General features: G+C 50.3%; 1 long non-coding RNA gene and 1 pseudogene across 2 annotated transcripts, besides 3 other annotated features; one reads left to right on the top strand and one right to left on the bottom strand.

Annotated features, from left to right (window-relative positions):
• On the top strand, positions 7,918 to 8,212 carry RN7SL426P (RNA, 7SL, cytoplasmic 426, pseudogene; annotated as a pseudogene).
• TMEM11-DT (TMEM11 divergent transcript) lies at positions 16,813 to 23,221 on the bottom strand. 2 transcript variants are annotated; one of them, NR_184102.1, is made up of 2 exons: positions 23,096 to 23,221; positions 16,813 to 17,181 (listed from the first exon to the last, which is right to left on the bottom strand). It is a non-coding gene; the product is annotated as a TMEM11 divergent transcript (long non-coding RNA). The 2 variants fall into 2 exon arrangements; NR_184103.1 differs by lacking the exon at positions 16,813 to 17,181 and adding an exon at positions 18,424 to 19,457.
• Positions 22,404 to 22,613: an enhancer, noted in NCBI's record as "active region_11881". NCBI's record gives its function as "activates an Ori minimal core promoter by ATAC-STARR-seq in GM12878 lymphoblastoid cells {active_cell/tissue: GM12878}" and the evidence as "EXISTENCE:reporter gene assay evidence [ECO:0000049][PMID:35858748]".
• Positions 22,774 to 23,043: a silencer, noted in NCBI's record as "silent region_8314". NCBI's record gives its function as "represses an Ori minimal core promoter by ATAC-STARR-seq in GM12878 lymphoblastoid cells {active_cell/tissue: GM12878}" and the evidence as "EXISTENCE:reporter gene assay evidence [ECO:0000049][PMID:35858748]".
• Positions 23,164 to 23,303: a silencer, noted in NCBI's record as "silent region_8313". NCBI's record gives its function as "represses an Ori minimal core promoter by ATAC-STARR-seq in GM12878 lymphoblastoid cells {active_cell/tissue: GM12878}" and the evidence as "EXISTENCE:reporter gene assay evidence [ECO:0000049][PMID:35858748]".

Raw genomic sequence — 23,343 nt, 5'->3', positions numbered from 1 at the left:
AGACACTGAGACTGCAGGAATAAGCCTCTGCATGGCCATTCTGGAATCTAGGAAAGGAGAGCCAGAGCATAAAAATGTATTGGTGTTTCATCTGCCAACTAAGACAAAAAGTTCAACTAGGTGCCCTGGACTAGGTCGTCTCATTTAAACTTCCCAACAAGCCATGAGGAGAGAACCTGCATCCTGTTCAGGTGGAGCCACTGCCCTTTGGAGATATGTCATCCACACCGTGCTCAGTGAGGGTGACCCAGGCAGATGGGGCTCTATCTTCACAGGACCCGAGTTCAGGGGAGGGGGATGAGAAAGTACACACGTAGCAAGAAACTTTGTGACCAGACTATTGGTGCACACGCAGGCGACGCACCCAGTCCCAATGCGGAGAACTTGCAAGGCTCTCTTGAAGAAGGAGATGTGGGCTGGGGCCTGAAAGATGAGGGAGCTTTGCAAGGGGCACAGCCTGCAGGCCCCAAGGGATCCAGGCCTCATGGTCTCTGACCTCATCTCCCACTACTCTTCTCCTTTCTCACTCCACCCCAGCCACATGGGCCTCCTGCTGGTCCTCGTATCTGCAAAGCTGCTCCCACCTCAGAGGCTATGCCCTCTGCCCAGAGTACTCTTCCCCTAGATATGCTCATGACTCCGTCCCTCACCTCCTTCAGGTCTGTGCCCAATGATCACCTTCTGGATGAGGCCTTCCTTCCCAGTTCTCCCCTGCCTAACATTTAAATTGCCGCCTCCTCCACTTCTGATCCCCTTACCCTGCCCCATTTTTTTCCAGCCATTGATTTTTTCTTACACAATGTATGATTTATTTATTTTATCTGGTTTATTATTCATTGTCTCTCCCAGCTAGAATACAAGCTGCATGAGAGCAGGAGTTTGTTTGTTTTGTTCATTGCAGAATCCCAGCATCTGGATCAGTGCCTGGCACACATTTAGTGCTCAAAACATTTGTTGGGTGGGTGGGTGGGTGAACTAGTGGATGGGTGTGTGGATAGGTGGGTGGATGGATGGATGGGTAAATGGATGAATGAATGGATGAGTGGGTGGGTGAATTAGTGGATAGGTGGGTGGATGGTGGGTGGGTGGATGGATGGATGGGTGGATGGGTGAATGGCTGGGTGGATGGGTGGGTGGATAGATGGATGGGTAGATGAGTGAGTGTATGGATTAAAGGGTGGATGGGTGAGTGGGTAGATGATTGGGTGGATAGATGGATGGGTAGATGAGTGGATGGATGGAAGGATAGGTGAGTGGGCAGATGAGTGGGTGGATGGATGGATGGGTGTGGGTGGATGAGTGGGTGGACAGATGGATGAGTGGATGGATGGATTGGTGGATAGATGAGTGGGTGGATGGATAGATGGACGGGTGGATGAGTGGGTGGATGGATGGGTGGGCAGATGAGTGGGTGAATCAGTGGATGGGTGTGGGTGGATGGATGGCTGAGTGGATGAGTGGGTGGATGGGTGAATGAGTGGATGTGTGGGTGGATGAGTGAGTGGGTGGATGGGTGGGTGGATGAATGAGTGGATGTGTGGGTGGATGGGTGAGTGGATGCATGAGTGAGTGGGTGGATGGATGGGTGTGGGTGGATGAATGGCTGGGTGGATGAGTGGGTAGATGGATGGAAGAGTGGATGAATGGGTGGATAGATGGGTGGGTGGATGGATGGGTAGATGGGTGGATGGGTGGATGGGTGGATGGGTGGGTGACTGGATGAATGGGTGAATGGATGGCTGGGTGGATGGCTGGATGAGTAGGTGGGTGGATGGTTTGGTGGATGAGTGGATGGCTGGCTGGCTGGGTGAATGGCTAGAACAGTGAGGGAGAGAGGGCTCCAGGTGGACTAACCAACATGAGCAAAGACCTAGAGATGAGAGAGTCATGCCATCCTTGAGGAATCGAATGAAGATGAGTGAGGCTGGCAGGGGGAAGGTCAAGGGATGAGACTGGAGAGGTGGGATGGCTGGATGATGGACAGCCCTGAAGTGTGGGAGAGATTGTTAGCAGTTCAATGGGTTTTCACTCATGGGCACACAGCTGCACCTCCTGCCACCCACACAGCAGATGGGGCCTGAGGTCTGCATTCTGCAAGGAGTATGGATATGGGCTCTCTCCAGGCTCTCTCTTTCCCGTTCCACCGCTGAATACCATTGGTTACTAGGCCTTGGGAAGGGTGAATCTACTAACTGTAAAGAACACGGGTTTCCGAATCACTGCATTCAGCTTTTCAGGAGAAAAGCCACGTGCCACTAATGAGCTCTCACTCTGGCTTGTTATGTGAGAAACACATCTCTGTGGTGTTTTAATCATTCTGCATTTTGGGGTCTATTTGTTACAGGAGATAGTGTGCACTAATGAATACCTCAAAATAGAGTGCCGCCATAACTTGAAACCTAAAATATGTACCATTGGCTTAGTGGCCAGGCAGCAGGGAACATGAAAATAGATGTTGCAGAATGGAAAGTGGGAGACTTATGTCATGCAGAGGTGAAATGTTTGTTAGACCTGTAGCCTACAATAGCTTGAAGGGAAGACTGGGAGAAGTAAGCCTGTAGCTCCAGAAGAAGGTGGCTGAGTGAGCTGCAATAAAAATGTATGTTGGGCTGGGTGCGGTGGCTCATGCCTGTAATCCCAACACTTTGGGAGGCCGAGGCAGGCAGATGACGAGGTCAAGAGATCGAGACCATCCTGGCCATCATGGTGAAACCCTGTCTCTAATAAAAATACAAAAATTAGCTGGGCATGGTGGCATATGCCTGTAGTCCCAGCTACTTGGGAGGCTGAGGCAAGAGAATCACTTGAAACCAGGAGGCGGAGGTTGCAGTGAGCCGAGATCGTGCCACTGCACTCCAGCCTGAAGACAGAGCGAGACTCCATCTCAAAAAAAAAAAAAAGTATGTTAGTCATTCCTTTGGTGTACAGTAAGGTATTGTGAGACAGAGACGCACTCAAGCAAGATATAAACAGTGTGGAAATAGAAGAAAGGGAAATATGAAGAGTTTGAGGCCTTGTAGTGTTGGAAAAGTGAACTGTGAATGGATCTCAAATAGCAGGAAATAAAAATAAAAAGGTTTTAAGTAGCAAAGGCTCATTAAAACTCTCAGGTCTACAAAGGCCTTAATCCTGCAGCAAGGATCAAATGAAGTGGGTGGTCTTGCCCCACTAACTGTTGAGATGTTCTCAAGGTCAGTGTCAGTACACAGACAGACAGAGACAGCAGAGACAGAGACATGGGAAATAAGGAAGCAAAGAAATAAAGCTGCTGGAAGATGACAGTAGAAAAGTACCTCGGGTGTGGTCACATGGAACTTATTGGAAGGAAAACTCCCTAAAATCTGGAGGGAATTGTATTGCCAAAGACACCACAAGCCTGTCATTGTAGAACAAGCCTTGGGCCTCCACCCTTGTACAGGCAGGAAAAGAGCTGCAAAAACCATGTGGTCCCCACCTCAGATGTTGCCACGGAGAATACTGGATGAGGAGGGGCCTCCCAGAAAGCAGAGATGGGAAATCCCTCCACGAGTAGGACAGGGAGCTTCACAACACCGCCAGTCAGATTCTGCAATTGTGGTGTGGGGGCTGCTGTGTGTCCCTGTTCCCCCTTCCCTAATGAGAGCTTTAACTGCCCCCAGTCAGTTCAGAGGGAGCAGGAACTGGATTTTACTTGGAGATCACGGGATGGTACTAGCGGAGAGCATGGAATGTTCCAGGAGATGCAGGGCCACAGGCAGAGACAGATGGAGTCTGGGGTCATCCCTCTGGGGGAGGGTGTGATAGAAGAAAGAGCACACTGCTATCTCGTTGCCAGAAAGAAAGACTGTTGTGAGACTCATAGTGAATCATTAAAAATCCATTTTCTGACCTCCCTGGATACACAGACTATTTCATAGTCTCCCCCTGCAGTCAATTGTGAGCAGAGGTGGACTGAGGCTTCTAAGAGTGGGAGGGCTCCTCCCTCACCTCTGCTTCCCTTAAACTGGCTGGATAGAGAAGGGGAAGAAGACAGTTGGAGCCTGGGTCCCTGAATCACCGCGTGGAGGAAAGCTATCCACTGGCAAGAGACACCTACTTCACACCACAGTGAGGAAGAACCAGACTGAACTGCATCTTAACTATGAAGCATTTCTCAGCCCATTTGCTCCAGCAGCTGACAACGCCCTGACAAACACACAGGCCATGGCCAGGGATCTAGACTTGACGCTGAGGCTCCACTAGAAGATTCTAAGCAGAGAAGCAGTATGGTTACATTTATTGTTTTAAAAGAATTATTGTGGCTAGGCCAGGCACAGTGGCTCTCGCCTGTAATGCCAACACTTTGGGAGGCTGAGGTGGGAGGATTACTTGGGCCCAGGAGTTGGAGACCAGCCTGGGTGACACAGTGAACCTCTATCTGGAAAAAAAAAAAAAAAAGAGAAAAGAAAAAATATATAACTGTGGCTGGGATGTGGAAAAAGGATGGGAGGGATGAAGGCTAGAGGTAGGAAGGCAGATTAGAAGGCCGTGGCAGATGCTAGGTGAGAGACGATGACGTCCTGCACTATGATTGGGGCAGTAAGGAGAGAGAAAATGGGTAGGTTTGAGAGCTGACAAGTGGCAGGGTCAGGACTGGAACCTGGGTCTGCCTGGGCAGAAGGGGGTGTATTGAGGTGTGTGTGGTGTATTATATGCGTGGCCCCCAGACTCCATCTCTGCTGTGGCCGAGTCAGGCCAGAGTCCATCACTCCTCACTTGACCTTTTGGCCTGACTGCTGTCTTGCCCCCTGTGGGCTCCATGCAGCAGCCAGAAAGAGCTTTCTAAAACCTCAATCACATCGTGTCTCTCTCCTGCTCAAAAGTCCCCAATGCCCTCTTATTTACTGCATGAAGGATAAAACCCAAGGGCCCCAATGCTGCCTCTGCTTACCTATGTCCCTCCACTTCATCACACTTCAGCTGCACTGACGTTATGTTCATCAACTCTTTCAAGCTCATTCCTGCCTCAGGGCCTTTGCACATGTGTTCCCTCTACCTGAAATGTTCTTCTTCTACATATTCTCCTAGTTTGCTCTTCCTTGTCGTTTAAGTCTGTTTTAGTTAAAGACATGTTTAGCTGCTAGAAAAGCCTAACCCACAGGGCATTTCATTTATCTCATGTATCATGAAGCCTGGAGGATGAAGGTCCAGAGTTTGTGCAGTGGTGCAATGATGTCATCAAAGGCCTAGGCTCTTCTCAACTTCCCTCTGCAGCATCGTTGCTATGTTGTTTTTTGTCCTCATGCTTCTTGCCTCATGGTCACAAAATGGCTGCTATGTCTCCAGGCATCACACCCATATTCCAGACACTGCCTTCCCTGACCTCCCCATCTAATGCTGGCTCCCTAGGCACTCTATCCTATTACCCCATCTTATTCTGATCCCATATCACTACTTGGAAGTTTCCTACTTGTTTCCTTGTTTGCTGACTATCTCCTGTCACTTCAATAAAAGCCCCACTAGGGCAAGGGGTTTGATTTCCATCTTGTTCATTGCCAAATTGCCAGACTGCCAAATTGCCAAAGCAATTTCATTTCCATCTTGTTTACTGCCAAAGCCCAGCCCTGGCACAGTATCAGGCACACAGGAAATGCTCAATAAATATTTGTAGACTGCATGAATAATAAAGTCCCCCAGCTGGCTTGGTGCCAAAGGCAGGACTCAAACCTGGGTCTCCCACCTTATGGTTCTGGGAATTTCCTGGTGTATCCTGATGCCTCCTTGCCACTCTCTGTGAGGAATCCAGGCGGTCCTGAGCAGCAGCCAAACCCTCGGCAGTCTCCAGCCATGTGAACAAAGAGCCTGTGTTTTGAGGCCCAGTGGAGAGAGGGAGAATCCCACCACTAGCGTTTAGGGAGCGCTCCCTGCTCACAGGTGAGCATTTCTTCAGAGGCACGCCGGCTGGCAGGCCTTCCTAGATAGAGCAAAGCCCCAAGTTCAATGGCACCCCTCACCTGCTGGGAAAGAGCCTCCCTCTTCAAGGATCTTCCAGTCACCTGTGTAGGTGAAGTAGGGCTCAGCTCCAGGCCAGCACGCCCCTAACTCCAACAAATGCAGAGCCCAGGCACCGAGATGTAGGGAGGCAGCCAAGTCTATCTGGAATTTTATAATATTTTGGCTTTGGTCTTCATTGTATTTACTTTTGCAGTTACCTGCACATGATACAGGTGTTCCATTTAGGTGGCTGCACAGAGCTTCCTTTTCTAAATAAAATATTTATTTTTTGAGATGGAGTTTCACTCTGTCTCCCAGGCTGGAGGATGGTGGCACAATCACAGCTCACTGCAGCCTCAACCTCCAGGGCTCAAGCAATCCTCCCACCTCAGCCTCCTGAGTAGCTGGGACTACAGGCATGCACCACCATTCCCAGCTAATTTTTTGATATTTTGTAGAGACAGGGTCTTCCTGTGGTGCCTGGGTTAGTCTTGAACTCCTGGGCTCAAGCAATCCACCTGCCTCGGCCTCCCCAAGTGCTGGGATTACAGGCATGAGCCACCACGCCCGGCCAGTTTCCCTTTTAAATAATATGTTTCAGTGTTCAAAGAATGAACCCACTTAAGAAAAATATTGAGTGGATGAAGGGTCCAGCGTGATGGCAGGGCTCATTTCTAAGCAGAGAAAGAAGGCGCAGAAGCAGGGGTGGCTATTCAGGGCCACTGCAAGCGCATGATGTCACTGGGGCCAGAGCCCAGACCACCACTTACTCTTCATCCAGCGCTTGTCAGCCCTAAGATCAGAGATGCCTGGGCCAGTCTTGCGCCAGATGACCCATGCAGCTGACCACCATCATACCATCCATGGCAACGTGTTCCATGTGGACAGGCTGCCTCCCAGAAATGGCCTGTCCTGCTGAGGTCATGTTAGTTTCCAGGGGCAGGGAGGAGGGTGCTGCTGCAACAAGCTTCCATGCCTGCCCCACTGGGTGCCCTGGCGCAAGCATACAAGTGACAAGTGACAGCACTCATAGCCCTGGAAACAGGACCCTTTGCACTTTCCACAGGAGCTCCACCTGCACTGGAGAGTAAGGACAGCCAGGCCCCACAGCTGCACAGCCAGGAGGGAACCAGGCGCTGCTCACAAAATGCCTGCATTTCCGTACGAGCGTTGCTTTTAGAATTTAATGCACAAGGCCCGGCGCGGTGGCTCACGCCTGTAATCTCAGCACTTTGGGAGGCCGAGGCGGGCAGATCACGAGGTCAAGAGATCGAGACCATCCTGGCTAACACGGTGAAACCCCGTCTCTATTAAAAAATACAAAAAATTAGCTGGGCATGGTGGCGGGAGCCTGTAGTCCCAGCTACTCGGGAGGCTGAGGCAGGAGAATGGCGTGAACCCGGGAGGCGGAGCTTGCAGTAAGCCAAGATTGCGCCACTGCACTCCAGCCTGGGCAACAGAGTGAGACTCCGCCTAAAAAAAAAAAAAAAAAAGAAGAAGAGAGATAATCTGGAGTCTTGCCATAACATGATCAACATATTGAGCACCCCCGCCACACTTTTTCCTAAGATGATGATGCTTTTTACTTTTCTTGAGGTTTATGATGGGATCAAATGGAGATGGAAGGAAGGGTCATGACTGGGCCTTGGCCAGGGGTGACCAGTAAGACTGACAGTGCTCCTTTCTTCCTTTCTGCTGGGATTCCCCAGGATGGCATTCTGCTAATCCAAAAAGCAATGTGGTGAGGCTTCCAGATTAACAGTTGACTGAAGATTATATATTAGGGCTTCCTCACTCCAGCCTGGGCGACAGAGCAAGACTCTGTCTCAAAAAAAAAAAAAAAAAGAATTTACTGCACAAATAAGCCTAGCACAAAGCAGGTGCTTATAAGTATTAGCTGAAAGAAAGATTTTTGAATGAAAAAAATGGAGAAAACTACACTTTTTTTTCATTAAAAAATGGTTAGCTGGGTGTCGTGGGGCACACCTGTAGTCCAGTCACTCGGGAGGCTGAGGCGGGAGGATCACTTGAGCCCAGGAGTTCTGGGCTGTAGTGTGCTATGCCAATCAGGTGTTCACACTAAGTTCAGCACCAACATGGTGGCCTCCTGGGAGCAGGGGACCACTAGGTTGACTAAGGAGAGGTGAACCAGCCTCTGCTGGAAACGGAGCAGGTCAAAACTCCCATGCTGATTAGCAGTGAGATCATGCCTGTGAATAGCCACTGAACTCTAACCTGAGCAACACGAGACCCCGTCTCTAAAAAAAAGAGGGGAAAAAAAAGAAAAATGAAAATTAAAAAAAAAAAAGAATAAACGTATCAGATCACACCCTTCCTAAACTCGTTTTGGTCCCTGTAGCCGAAGGATGTCAGAGGGCAGCTCAGTGCTTCTCCCTACAACACACACTACCCTGTCTCAGCTGACCCCAGGATGGGCAGAAACCCAATCTGAGCTTATACCTAGGAGAGCAATTCCACCAGACACCACTGAGAACATTCCAGAACAAATAAGGATAGGAGTTTGCTGGGAGGATACAGTGACCTGACAGGCACTGGCCCACTCTATAGATAGCAGTCGCTGGCTGGGCCTTCCCTGCTCTCTCTGGCCCTGGGCTCCCCTCATAGTCTCTCAGGAAACCCCTACCTGCCATCACCTTCCTTTTCCTTTTCCTTTTTTTTTTTTTTTTGAAACAGAGTCTCAAAAAGTCAGGCTGGAGTGCAGTGGTGCAATCTCAGTTCACTGCAACCTCTGCCTCCCGGGTTCAAGTGATTCCCACGTCTCAGCCTCCGGAGCAGCTGGGATTACAGGCGCCTGTCATCACGCCCGGCTAATTTTTGTATTTCTAGTAGAGTTTCACCATGTTGGCCAGGCTGGTCTCAAACTCCTGACCTCAAGTGATCCGCCCGCCTTGGCCTCCGAAAGTGCTAGGATTACAGGCGTGAGCCACTATAGCCAGCCACCTTCCTCCTTAACTCTTGCCCACCACCCATGCTTGGCACAATCCCCTGTACAGAGGACCAAGCTGGAAGAAACCTTCCATAATTCAACTCCTTTTTAAAGGAGAGAAACCAAGGCCCCAAGGTGGGGTGACAGGTTAGGGGCAGGTGGGACAGAGACCCAGGTGTCCTGAGCCTCAATGCAGGACTCCTGGCCACAATGAATGCACGTGTGCTAGACCTGGGAGGCCTGGAGCAGCAGGAAGGAAGCAGGAAGAGCCAGCCGACTGGCAGGTCAGTACAGAGGCGGCCGCCCTGGCCTCACTGATGCACAGGCCCAAGGCAGCTCCTGAGGGCAATTCCAGGTTGTGCCCAACCCAGGCTGCTGTAGACAGGTTCAAAAATGTGCAATGTCAACACAGCTCTGACTCCTGCCACTCTGAGCTGCCAGGGAAAGTTCCAGAGTGATCTGGCTGGGGAGCCTGTGTCTGGGTGAGGAGAGAGTGGCCCCCAGGCAGGAGCTGACAGAGGTGACAGAGGTGGTGAACTCCCTTCTACTGAACTTTCAGACAATAGAGACACAGGTGTGAGGGCAACAGGGCCCCACTGCTCCCCTCCAGATGGGGGTGCTGAGGTCTGGAAGACTCTTGGGGCCTCTTAGGAAGGCCTCTGTAACCTCCTAATCTCATTCACTCCTAAGCCAGGCACCAAGGGCTCACTACGCTGAAACTCCCTGTTCCAAGTCACCTGCCTGAATGACTCCACAGGATACACCGTCTCTGATGGCACAGGGTCTCTCCTTACTTTTGGACTGATGTTCTCACTCTGTCACTTTGCAGTGCGTTGAATGGTGACCCTCAAAGTGACATGCCCACATCCTAATTCCTAGAACCCGTGAGTGCCACTATATTTGGAAAAATATCTGTCAATGTACTTAGGTTAAGGATCTTTCATTACGATGATGATTATTTTGAGACAGGATATCGCTCTGTCGCCCAGGCTGGAGTGCAGTGGTGTAATCTCAGCTCACTGCAGCCTCGACCTCCTGGGCTCAAGAGATCCTCCCACCTCAGCCTCGCAAAGTGCTGGGATTACAGGCGTGAGCCTCCACACCCAGTGAGATTAAGGATCTTGAGATGAGGAGATCATCCTGGATTATCTGGGTGGGCCCTAAACCCAACCAAGTGTCTTTATACGAGGGAGGCGGAGGGAGAGTTGAGACCAAGAAGGCTGACGTGCAACCATGAGGCAGAGGCTGGCGTGACAAGGCCACGAGTCCAGGCAGGCCACAGCCACCAGAAGTGGGAGAGGGAGGGAGCATCTCTCCAGAGCCTCTCAGGGAACACGGCCCTCCCAGCACCCTGATTTCATTCTTCTGAACAAATGCTTGCTGTTTGAAGCCACCCCATTTCTGGTCATTTGCTACAGTGGCCACAGGAAGCTAAGACCTGTCGCCCCCCCAATCCGTGGAAGCAAATCCCAAATTATTCCCATGCCCCCTGCTGTTCTCCCTCGCTGGCATCTTTCTTGCCTCTCTTCCCGCATACCATCCTCCTTCTTCTGACTCCGCCTTCCCAGGCTATGTAAGTCCAGGAGGCCTGGGGACCTGTGTCCCCTCATCTCCACCAATTCCTATCTTCTCAGGCATTTTCTTTTTTCTTTTTTTTTTGAGACGGAATCTTGCTTTGTCACCCAGGCTGGAGTGCAGTGGCATGATCTTGGGTCACTGCAACCTCAGTCTCCTGAGTTCAAGCGATTCTTCTGCTTCAGCCTCCCGAGTAGCTGGGACTACAGGCATGCGCCACCACGCCTGGCTATTTTTTGTATTTTTAGTAGAGACAGAGTTTCACCATATTGGCCACACTGGTCTTGAACTCCTGACCTCGTGATCTGCCCGCCTCGGGCTCCCAAAGTGCTGGGATTACAGGTGTGAGCCACCACACCTGACCTTTTCTCAGGCATTCTCTCCCAACTCCAACCCCAAACCACAAGATGAGATGCAGCCTCAAAAGGCAGCTTCTTTCTCCATCCGGAAGAGCAGAGACGCCTTGGGCCCTAGCAGGGAGGCGAGGGCTGGTGGGACAGGCATTTGGTCCTGGCTCCGCTGCAAGCTTACACTGGGGCCCCAGGGTCATCTTAGGACCTCCCTAGGCTTCGCTGGGTTTCCTCTGTGGAAATGGGAAAAGTCACACCAGATCCCCCCGAGGCCCCTCCGAGCTGCAGCGTTCTCTCTAAAGAATTGGAGAGAAGTTTCTAGGAGTCCCTGGGTTTCAGGATCTGTGAGATACTCTCCAAGTGCAAAACCCCACAGAGAATTTGGAAGAGTCAGTATGAAGAAAAATAATGTTGGCTGGGCGCAGTGGCTCACTCCTGTAATCCCGGCACTTTGGGAGGCCGAGGTGGGCAGATCACGAGGTCAGGAAATCGAGACCATCCTGGCCAACATGGTGAAACCCCGTCTCTACTAAAATACAAAAAATTAGCCAGCCGTGGTGGTGCGTGCCTGTAGTCCCAGCTGCTCAGGAGGCTAAGGCAGAGGAATCGCTTGAAACTGGAAGGCGGAGGTTGCAGTGAGCCGAGATTGCACCACTGCACTCCAGCCTGGGCGACAGAGCAAGAGTCTGTCTCAAAAAGGGGGAAGAAAAGGGGAGGGAAGAGGGAGGGGAGGAGGAAGGGAGGGGAGGGGAGACAAGGGATGTTGGCTGGGTGTGGTGGCTCACGCCTTTAATCCCAGCACTTTGGGAGGCCAAGGCAGGTGGATTACCTGAGGTCAGGAGTTCAACACCAGCCTGACCAATATGGTGAAACCCTGCCTCTACTAAAATTACAAAAATTAGCCAGGTGTGGTGGCTTGTGCCTGTAGTCCCAGCTATTCGGGAGGCTGAGCCAGGAGAATCACTTGAACCTGGGAGGCGGAGGTTGCAGTGAGCCAAGATCACACTACTGCATTCTAGCTTGGGCGAGAGAGAAAGACTCCGTCTCAAAAAAATAAAAAAAAAGAAAGAAAGAAAAAGAATGTTAAAATATCTCAAATTCCTTTTTAAATTATTATCATACTTTAAGTTCTAGGGTACATGTGCACAATGTGCAAGTTTGTTACATAGGAATACATGTGCCATGTTGGTGTGCTGCACCCATCAACTCATCATTTACATTAGGTATTTCTCCTAATGATATCCCTCCCACTGCCCCCGACTCCCACCGGCCCCGGTGTGTCATGTTCCCCGCCCTGTGTCCATGTGTCCTCATTGTTCAACTCCCACCTATGTCTCACTCATAAATTCTAATTGACATGATGAAATGATACTTTTTGGATATATACTGGGTTAAGTAAAATATATTATTAAAATTAACTTCAGGCCAGGCGTAGTGGTTTATGCCTGTAATCCCAGCATTTTGGGAGGCCGAGGCAGGTGGATCACTTTAGGTCAGGAGTTCGAGACAGGCCTGGCCAACATGGCAAAACCACATCTCTACTAAAAATACAAAAATTAGCCAGGCTTGGTGGCACATGCCTGTAATCCCAGCTGCTTGCAAGGCTGAGGCCAAAGAATCGCTTGAACCCAGGAGGCGGAGGTTGCAGTGAGCTGAGATTGCGCCACTGCATTCCAGCCTGGGCGACAGAGCAAGACTCTGTCTCAAAGAGAAAACATAATTTCACCTCCTTTTACTTTTTAAGTGTTGCTACTGGAAAATTGTGTTTGTTCTGGAGACAGTCTCACTCTGTCGCCCAGGCTGGAGTGCAGTGGCGTGATTTTGGCTCACTGCAACCTCCGCCTCCCTGGTTCAAGCGATTTTCCTGCCTCAGCCTCCCGAGTAACTGGGACTACAGGCACACGCTGCCACTCCTGGCTAATTTTTTGTATTTTAGTAGACACGGGGTTTCACCGTGTTGCCCAGGTTGGTCTTGAACTCCTGACCTAAAGTGATCCACCCACCTTGGCCTCCCAAAGTGCTGGGATTACAGGCATGAGCCACCATGCCCAGCCGCTGCTGGAAAATTTTAAAGGACCTTTGTGAGCAGCACAGTATCTATCCTGTGGCTCTCTGCGGTGGTCTCCCTCATCTCTGTCCCACTCATGCCAGGGCCCCTGGCATGTGCTCTATGGAAATGATGTGTGGATGCTGCCCAGATATCTCCAGGACCTGCTATTTGTTGGTCTGGGCTGGGGAGGTAGACCAGCAAGGGGCCAGAGAGTTCGGTTTAAGTGTACCCAGGTGAGCCCGGGGGTTTCCATGGCTGGGACAGATTTTGCTCTCATGGTCACCTTTTTCTTTAAATTTAGGTGAAATTCACACAATGTACAATTAATCATTTCAGAGTACAATTCAGTTGCATTTGGTGCATCCACAATGTGGCACAGCCATCGCCTCTATCTACTTCCAAAACATTCTCATCTCCCAAAAGAAACCTCATTCCCCCGAGAAGCCATCCCCATTTTCCCTCCTGCCCCCAGCCCCTGGCAGTAACACATCTGGTTTCTGTCTCTGTGGATGTGCCTGTTCTGGACATTTCCACATTGTTGTAACCATACAATATTTTATTTTGTGTCTGGCTTCTTTCACCCGGAACAATGTTCTCAAGGTGCCTCCGCAAGGTCCATGGACCGGAGCTCCACTCTCCTTTAGCTGAATCACATTGTATCATGTGGCTGCACCTCCTTGTGTGTATCCATGTATTCATGGACGCCTGGGTGGATGCCTCTCCTGGCAATGGCAAGTGGAGCACACAGTCTCTAAGCAAAACCTACGAGACCGCCTGGGTGCTGTCTCAGTGATGGCTGGCCCTGCCCATTCCTTTTGCAACCCCTAGGAATCCATCATCCTACTGGGGTTCCCTTGTCCCTCCAGCCATCACATAGGGTGGGACAGGATTGAACATAGCGTCAGACCCTCATTTCCATCGCCTTCTACCCAGAGTCAGCAATGTATCCAGCCCCAGCTCGTATCTGTGTGCTCTGCCCTCTGTGTCTTGGGCCTCGGGCTGCCAAGGAAGCTGCTCCCCTTCAGAACCCTTGAGCATGGTCCTCCACCAGTCTGCTGCCCCAAAACCTTGGGACACAGAGCCATGTCCTCACCCTGTAGTGTCCTTGTCCCAAATCAACCTATTATCTCCAGCTCCCTCTCAGTCTTGCAGCTTCTCAGAAGAGGGACAGGTGAGGTGAGACAAGCCTGTCTTCATTTTGAGGCCTTGATCCAACTGGGAACGGGGGTGCTAGGGACTGAATTGTGTCCGCCTAGAATTCCTGTGTTAAGGACCTAACTCCCAGGACCTCAGAATGGGACTGTACTTGGAAACGGGGCTTTTAGGAGGCAACGAAGGTGCAATGAGGCCACAGGGTGGCATCTTAATCTGACAGAAAGGGTATGCTTATAAGGAGAGAACTCTCTGTGTCTCTCAGCCATGTGGGGACACAAGAAGGCAGACATCTGCCTTCAGCCGGAACGGGATCTGCCAGCACCTTGATCTTGCACTTCAGCCTGCAGAACTGTGAGCAGGAACTGTGTTGTTTCAACCACCCAGTCTGTGGTATTTGGCTAGGACAGACTCACATACCTCCTTACCTAGGTAGACCTCCTTCCCCACTCACCCCTAAGTATGTTCAGTGATATCGCCTGCCTAGCACTCACCTGAAAATATCTCATTCTTGAATGCCTGTCTCCCCAGACATGGGTTCCTTGCGGATGGGGCTGACCCATGAGGCTGCCCTGGCTCCCAGCCTGGAGCACACATGCCCTAACTAGGAGTGGGCAGAAGGATGGACAGAAGGAGAGATGAAAAAGTGTGATGCGATGCATGGGCGCTTCCTAGAATCTGTTTCCCATAACGTTAACTACCAGAGCAACTGCTGTCATCTGGCCAAGGGTTCCCTGGAAGTGTCTGGTGTGAGCAGGGGCCTTGCTGTGGAAATGCTGGACAAGAACAGGGCCCTGTTTGAGCAACAGGAGCCGCAGCCTCTTGTGGCCACCATGAGACACTGGGCAGCGTGGGCAGGCGCCTCCACCCATGTGCGTTTCCCAGTTCATGAAGTCAAAATGCTGCCAGATGTCTCACCTTCCACATCGTTGTTGTCAGGATGACACAGGCTCTGCAGTGAGCTATGGGAAGTGAGGGGCTGCAATGATCAAACCATCTTTGCCTTGCTTGCCACACCCTCATGTGACCAACTTGGCCCAGTTTGCCCAAAACTCTCCCAATATTAAAACTAAAAATCCCATGCCCTGGGACTCCCCTCAGGCCCAGGCAAGCCAGGACAGCTGGCCACCCTTCCACATTCCTGCTCTGTTTTGGCCCCTGCCTTAGATGAGGGGCTGGCCACATGAGCTATGGAAAGGAGGGGCCTCGTCCATTCATCTCTCCACCACCAGGGTTGTACAAGCACGCGCTAAGGTTCTAGTGACAAATGCATCTCCAAGTCTGCACCACAAGCTCAGCATTCTTGCTGTTTCCATTCTCCGCCAAGGCGGACAATAACATAAAAGAGGGCTCATCTGTGCTTTCCTAGACTCACATTGTAAAACTATGGGACCAGTGAGGAGTTCCATTTGCATCTTGGGGCAATGGGGTGTGCTTGGGGTTCCCTAGGAGTACTGCCCATGCTCACACCTTGGTGCCTTTCCCATGTCTGAGGTGGAAATGTTGATGTGGTGGGATAGATCAAGGCTCCCCAAGGACATCCTGGCTGCATGGTAGCCAGTGGCTTTTTTGGCCAATGGCTGGGCTTCTCTGCTGCTGAGCCCTGTTAGGCTAGCTTTGGTCTCACCAAGTGGAGAATGTCTGCAGAGAGGCCTTTAGAAGGGGGTTGATTTCAGTGATCTACTGCTGCATAACAAGGAAACCAGGGGCATCAAATCACAGCCACTTCATTCTGCTTGTGGATTCTGTGTGTGGGGAATCTAGAGAGGGCTCCACAAGAAGCAGAGGGCCCTGTCCCTGCTCAGCTGTGATGCTCACTAGAGCTTTGACACCTGGCCTCTCCACATGGCTTGGGCTTCTTCAGCATTAAGACTTCAGACTTCCATCACAGCACAGGGAGCTCCAGTGACAGAGCCTCTATGGCCTTTTAGGAGCCAACCTTAAAAGTCATTCAGCATCACTTCCTCTACACCCTGCTGACTGAAGCAGTTATAGGCCCACTCAGATTCCCTGGGAGGGGACTTAGGCACCACCCTGAAGGAAGGAATGCCGAGGAGTTTGCTGCCATGCTTTTAAACCACCACAGGGGTGCTGGGGGAGAGTCTTCGCATATGGAAAAGGTGGGACAGGGGAGGCTGAGAGAGAGCGAGCGAGCAGAAGAAAGTGAACAGGTGAGAGACAGAGTGTGGCCACTGTGGTAAGTCCTGGGATTTTGGAGAAAAAGCCGTGCTATGTGTGATGTCACCATTCTCATCCATCTCCCTGGGCAACTTCCACCAAGTCCACACCATTTGTCACTGCTTCCAGCCTTGGATTTCTTTTTATCTCAATGATGTGACATATAGGACCAGCCTCTGAGGTGCCTGCCAGGTAAAGGCTACCTCCATGAGGGTGGGGCAGGGCCAGTCCAGAGAGGCCTGGGGATGCCCAGATGGCAGTGTGGAGCCCTGAAATGAAGTAATGATGACTGGAACTTCGATTCACTGCACACACACACTGCCTCACTGTATGCTGAGGCTGAGGCTTCACTTTATTTTTTGAGACAGGGTCTCACTCTGTCACCCAGGCTGGAGTGCAGTGGTGCAGTCATAGCTCACTGCATCCTCCAGTTCCTGGGCTCAAGTGATCCTCCCACCTTGGCCTCCCAAAGTGCTGGGATTATAGGTGTGAGCCACCTCCCCGGACCCGAAGAATTTTTTTAATCCTACGTGTTATGGGCTGAGTTGTGTGCCCCTGCCCCTCACCCTCACTTCAATTCAAATAACACAATCTTAACCTCCCAGTACTTCAGAATGGACTGCATTTGGACTTTTATTAAAGAGAAAATTAAGTTAAAATGAGGCCATGAGAGTGGGTCTTAACCCAATCTGACAAGTATCCATCTAAGAAGAGCAGATTAGGGCTGGGCATGTTAGCTCATGCCTATAATCCCAGCACCTTGAGGGGCCAAGGTAGGTGGATCACCTGAGGTCAGTTGTTCAAAACCAGCTTGGCATTTAGAACGAGGAAACATTTTAGAATGAGGAAAGGTAGGAAAGGATACACACCAACCTTTCAATATTGTTAGGATCACAGCAGTGCAGGGTGGCTTGTGGAATTATTAACTCTTATGACATGTCACTGAAGAACAAGATCCTGTAAGTGAAATTGCATATCTGGGGGAAAACATTGAAGCTGCACATTAATGGATGGAATGAGAAATACAATCTCCAGTAACAGAAATTTTAAATGTACTGTTAATGAATTTTTTTTTTTTTTCAGACGGAGTCTCGCTCTGTCCCCCAGGCTGGAGTGCAGTGGCGCAATCTCTGCTCACTGCAGGCTCCACCCCCCGGGTTTACGCCATTCTCCTGCCTCAGCCTCCAGAGTAGCCGGGACTACAGGCGCCTGCCACCTCGCCCGGCTCATTTTTTGTATTTTTAGTAGAGACAGGGTTTCACCATGTTAGCCAGGATGGTCTTGATCTCCTGACCTCGTGATCCGCCCGCCTCAGCCTCCCAAAGTGCTGGGATTACAGGCATGAGCCACCACGCCCGGCCTGAATTTTTTTAAAGTAAATAAACTCTGACTTTTTTCCTTAGTAAATACAAATTATTAAGGCCACCTTTTAAAAAGAGCATCATATTCAAAACGTTCCATTTCACTCATGAGAAATTCAAATTTTACAGAAAACAAGATGTCATTTTTTAAAGAAACCTTTTTAAGGATAATTTTAGATGTACAGAGAAGTCGCAAAAATAGTACAGTTCTGTATAGCCTTCATCCTGGTTCCCCTGACATTAACATCTCACATAGTCATGGTATGTGTCAAAACTAAGAACCAACATTGGCAGTTACTATTAACTGAACTCAAGACCCCATTCAGATTTCACCTGTTTTTTGTTTTTTTTTTCCTTTCTTGAGACAGAGTCTCACTCCATCACCCAGGCTGGAGTGCAGTGGCATGATCTTGGCTCACTGCAACCTCCGCCTCCCAGGTTCAAGCGATTCTCCTGACTCAGCTTCCCGAGTAGCTGAGATTACAGGCTTGCACCACCATGCCCAGCTAACTTTTTTTGGTATTTTTAGTAGAGACGGGGTTTCACTATATTGGCCAGGCTGGTCTCGAACTCCTGACCTTGTGATCCGCCTGCCTCGGCCTCCCAAAGTGCTGGGATTATAGGCATGAGCCACCACACCCAGCCCAGATTTCACCTGTTTTTCCACAAATGTCCTCTGCTACCATATTGCATTTAGCGAGATACCACTTTTAAATTTGCAAAAAGAAAACACTTGCTAACAGACCATGCTGGCACAGCTGTGGGGAAATAGGCAGTGTCATGTACTGCTGGAGGGAGTGGGGTGTAGTCTGGCAATATTTATCAAAACAACAAGTGCCTACACTCTGACCCAGCAAGTTCTCGTCAGGAAATTATCCCAGTTTTATTTGCAATGGGTACCAGGAAGTGGCGCAAACATGTTTACTGCAGCACTCCTTGAAATAGTAAAAGACTGTCCAGAGACTGGCTGATACAATTATGGCATATCCAAACAATGGATTATCATGTACTGCTAAAACAAATCAGATATATACTGATACAGAGTGATCTCCAAGATACAATTAAGTGGAAAAAACAAAAACAAACAAGAAATGGAGGAATGTGCATAATATGCATCCTCTGGGCCAAAGAAAACATTTGTTAATATATGTCTACTTTATATCTGCAGAGGATCCATAACAAAGGTACCAGTTATTGCCTGCAGAGGGTTGTGGACAGAGATGGAAAGAGCCAGGTCACAAGAAGATGAGCAAAAAAACCCCCTTATTTTTCACTGTATATTGTTTTGTAATTTGAATTTTATACCATGTGAATATACTGCCCATTCAGACTTAAAATTCTACTTTTAAAATGCTCATTTTGATGCTTTTAATGGTAAATTCAAACCTTTATGTAGAACTATTATACCTAAGATATTGTTTTGGAAGATTTGCCTTTCCCTGAATGCTACTACATGCTATGAGGAATAAAAATAGGCTGAGTTTTTACTCCTCAAAACAGCCCTGCAAGATAGGCGCTGTGTGAATGGCATCTATTTTCTCCCCTACACCTGCCTTTCTATACTCTCCATGGTCAGGGCTGGAAGCCAAACAACTACATTTCCCAGACTCCCTTGTCATCTGACTCAGCCAGTGGGAGGCACTGGTGGGAGTTTGGAAGATATGAGATGGGGAAAGCAATTCTAATCTCTGGCTTCTGGTGGCACCCCAGGCCACAGCGGTGGTTCCAGTTGTGTGTCAGTAGTACCAGGCAGCAAGTGTGGCTCCAGGCTCCTGCTCAGCAGCTGAGGAATCAGTCTCTGGAAACGAATTTTCCTGTTGCTCCTCTAGCCTTGTGGGGGTCAGGCTTTGGGTGCCCTTGTTCTCCCCTTGTTTCTCATGCCCTTCCAACACCTTTGTAAACAATACCCTGTATTAAATGGTTTTTCCTCTAATTACACACTGGCTAATACAGATAAAATTACTCATATTTTACAGGTGAGAAACTGAAATTCAAATAGAGAAAGTGACTTAACCAAAGGCAAGCTAAGTACCACGCTTGTCTCATGATGCTCCAGCCACCTTGGTCCTAACCTTATTGGACCACCCCAGGCCCATCTGCACTGCAAAGCCATTGCATTAATTCGCTCTGCACAGAACATTCTGTCTTCAGTCCTTCGCATGCACACTCTTTCAAGTCCCACTCAAATGTTACCTTTTGATACAGTCGGGTTTTCGTTTTTAAGAGACAGGGTCTCACTCTGTCCCTCAGGCTGGAGTGTAGTAATACAAACATAGCTCACTGCAGTCTCAAACTCCTGGGCTCAAGAGATCCTCTCACCTCAGCCTCTCCAGTAGCTAGGACTACAGGCACGTGCCACCATACTTAGTTAATGTTTAAATTTTTTGTAGAGTCAAGGTCTCCCCATGTTGCCCAGGCTGGCCTCAAACTCCTGGACTCAAGCTGTCCTCCTTCCTCAGCCTCCTAAAGTGCTGGGGTTACAGGTGTGAGCCATTGTGCCCAGCCTTCAAATGTTACCTTTTTAGAGTGACCTCTTACCACCTGTGATCTCCAAGTCACTCCATTATATCATCCTGTTCCTTTTCTTCTTGGTACTCCTCTCTGAAAATATTTACTTAAGTTGTTTATCCCATTGGAATGTAAAGCCCGTTAAGACCCAGGAACAGTGTTTGTCTTACTAAACACCGTATCTCTGTGCCCAAGAGTACCTGCAGAGTATGCCTTCAACGATTTAAGAATGAATGAATGAAAAGTGTAGTAAGAGAAGTAGCAGATTACTTTGAGCACCAGCGAGGACATGCCTTTCCACTGGCTGCCTTCATACAGCAGGACAGAGGGCTCACGGGAGTCTCCACCGCAGGACAGCCCCCAGGAACTAATTCCCACCACTCAGGCTGTGCCCTCCAAAGGTGCTCAGCTAATACATACTGAGTCAATCAGGCTGCCTATGAACCTTCCAGACAACCTCCGTGCATTAACAGTAATCAGGAGGAAACACCGTGAGGATCTTAGACCAAGTTGGCAGATTAGAAGCAGACGGTCATTCAGAAGTTAAGGGGAGAGTAAAAAGCTGGAGAAATGGGATGTTCATTAGGGCCACAGTTGTTTCAGCATTTACATTTACTCTATGCACTAGACCTACCTCCAGTGCTTCTGGAGAGGCACAATGGCAGAGTGTAATCTCTGTAACTGGACAGTCTGGGCTCAAATCCTAGCACTTTCCTGGCTGGCAGTGTGAGCAAGTCACTCAGGTCGTCTGTAAGTTGATTTCCTCATTTACAAAATGAGATTGTTGATTAAAAAAAAAAGTGATACTATTATTAAGACAGAGTCTTGCTCTGTCATCCATTCTGGAGTGCAGTCGTGCGATCTCAGCTCACTGTAACCTCCACCTCCCGGGTTCAAATGATTCTCATGCCTCAGCCTCCCGAGTAGCTGGGATTACAGGCGTGTGCCACGATGCCCGGCTAATTTTTGTATTTTTAGTACAGACGAGGTGTCACCATGCTGGCCAGGCCGGTCTTGAACTCCTGACCTCAGGTGATCCACCCGCCTTGGCCTCCCAAAGTGCTGGGATTACAGGCGTGAGCTAACGCACCTGGCCAACAGTATCACTTTTATACAGTTGTTGTGAAAATCAAGATGTAGATCACTTAAAATATAAAACAGCACTTGGCCTCCATACACGTATCACCTCATGAAATACCGCAATCCTCTGAGGGGAGATACTATCATCCCATGATACAAACCAGGCAGCTGAGAAACAGAAGTTACACAAGCAGCCCCTGAGCCAGAAGTGCGTTCTAGAATCCCTAGTATACCCTCTGAATCACCACACTGATACAAAGAAAAGACAGCCATATCCGCAGTGTCATACCATGGAACTGTTAAGAGGTCTCCAGCATGAACTACGCTGACACTTGGAGGCAGGGCTGTATGACTCAACAGGAAGGCCAGGTACTTTTTAGAGACCAGACAGGTACAAGGTCTTGAAGGACAAAAGTTGGCTGGGAGAGCTGGGCACCGTGGCTCATGCCTGTAAATCCCAGCACTTTGGGAGGCTGAGGGGGATGGATCATGAGGTCAGGAGTTGGACACCAGCCTGACCAACATGGTGAAACCCCGTCTCTACTAAAAATACAAAAATTAGCTGGGTGTGGTGGCACCACCTGTAATCCCAGGTACTCAGGAGGCTGAGGTAGGAGAATTGCTTGAACCTGGGAGGCGGAGGTTGCAGTGAGCCAAGATCGCACCACTGCACTCAAGCCTGGGCGACAGAGCAAGACTCTGTCTCAAAAAAAAAAAAAAAAGTTGGCTGGGAGGTAAAAGCATTTTAGGTAAAGCATAGAACATCTACGTATCTGCAAACCCTCTGAATTTACTAGCCTGGCAAGTTCCAGACGGGAAAGGTAGGCAGTTGAATTTGGAGAGCTAGGCAACTTCCAAACTAAGGAGGGGCTTCTTGATTGTGCTAAGGAATTTGAATCACACACTGTAGGTGATGAGGGACGGTGAGAGGATTGCAAGCAGCTAAAACTGTGGTAGAATGTCAGCTGGAAGGAAATCGAAAGGAATCCTCAACAAGGAGAGGGTCGCCTTTCCGTCTGCTGGCCCTCCTGCTGTGGCCTGCGGCGGGGTGGGAAGGGGGGTTCCACTACACAGAAGTGTGACGCGCAGGGCTGGGCTTCTTCTAGGCTGAATTCGGGACAGATTTTCGCATTTGTTTTGCTCAAGTATTTATGGGACCAATTAATATGTTTAGCAACGTTGTCTGTGGGAGCAGTAGAGGAACTGAGAAGTTCACAAACTGTAAGAGATCCTCCAAAGAGTCCACAGGTCTGAGGCAGCAGCACCTGGGAATCTCTGGGCTCCAGTTAGTCCTTCCTGACTTTGACTCGTTACAGCAGTGTCCAGACAGGGATATGTCGGGTCCTGTGGCAGGGTTCCCGTCAGGTGGGATGGTTTAGCCCCGCATCTGCCTTCAAAGATCCCGAGATTATGCCGTCGCAGCGGCCAGGGCAGGAGTGGGTGCGTGGCAGGGACTGAGTCTAAGAGGCCTGGAGGCCCTGTCTAAAACAGAGCTGTCGCTGGGCCCTCTCGCCTTCAAGCAGTTATCATACAGCTATTCCCCTTTCTTGTTTTCAGACCCTCTCCTCTAACAGCCTGCACCTGCAAGCAGGGACCTCCGTGGCAGCAGGGACAGCGTGTCTGTCTCGGCCTCCAAAGTACCCCGGAGTCTAAGAGAACTGGGGGAGGATGGTGCGGGAGCAGCGCCCGCCTCCAAGGAGGGCCCGGGCGGCGCCTCCCGCCCCTCGGTGACCTTATGGGCCAAGGCTGTGAAGGGCAGGCGTGGCGACGCGGAGGGGCCCGGCGCTAGTAGCCCGCAGACAGCGCGGCGGCCCCCAGCGGGAGAGGCAGCCTGGCGGCCAGGACAGCGCGGCCGGGCGCCTCCGCGCAGTGCTCTGGGAGTTGTAGGCACTTGCCTCTCCTCTCTCCTTCAGCTACTGGCTCTCGAAACTCAAGGACCTACCGGTGGGTGGGCGCCTGTGACTCCCAGGCTGCGAACGCCGGGAACTCAGTTTCTTCAGAAATGCTCGAACCAGGACGGCTCCTGGAGTCCTCGCGCCCTCGCAGAAGGACTACGGGCCCCGGCGACCCCGGGGGCGGGGCTTCCGGCGCGCTGCCTTGTGGGCACGGTAGTTCCGCCGGGTCTGGCTTCCGCCTGCCGAGCGGCCCCGGACCGCAGGCCGGACTACACTTCCCGTCGGCCCGCCTGCT

The sequence above is a fragment of the Homo sapiens genome, chromosome 17 (assembly GCF_000001405.40).
Source record: "Homo sapiens chromosome 17, GRCh38.p14 Primary Assembly".
Lineage (NCBI taxonomy): Eukaryota > Metazoa > Chordata > Mammalia > Primates > Hominidae > Homo > Homo sapiens.
The sequence above is the reverse complement of the archived record's forward strand: the minus strand, read 5'-3'. Positions and strand labels throughout refer to the sequence as shown.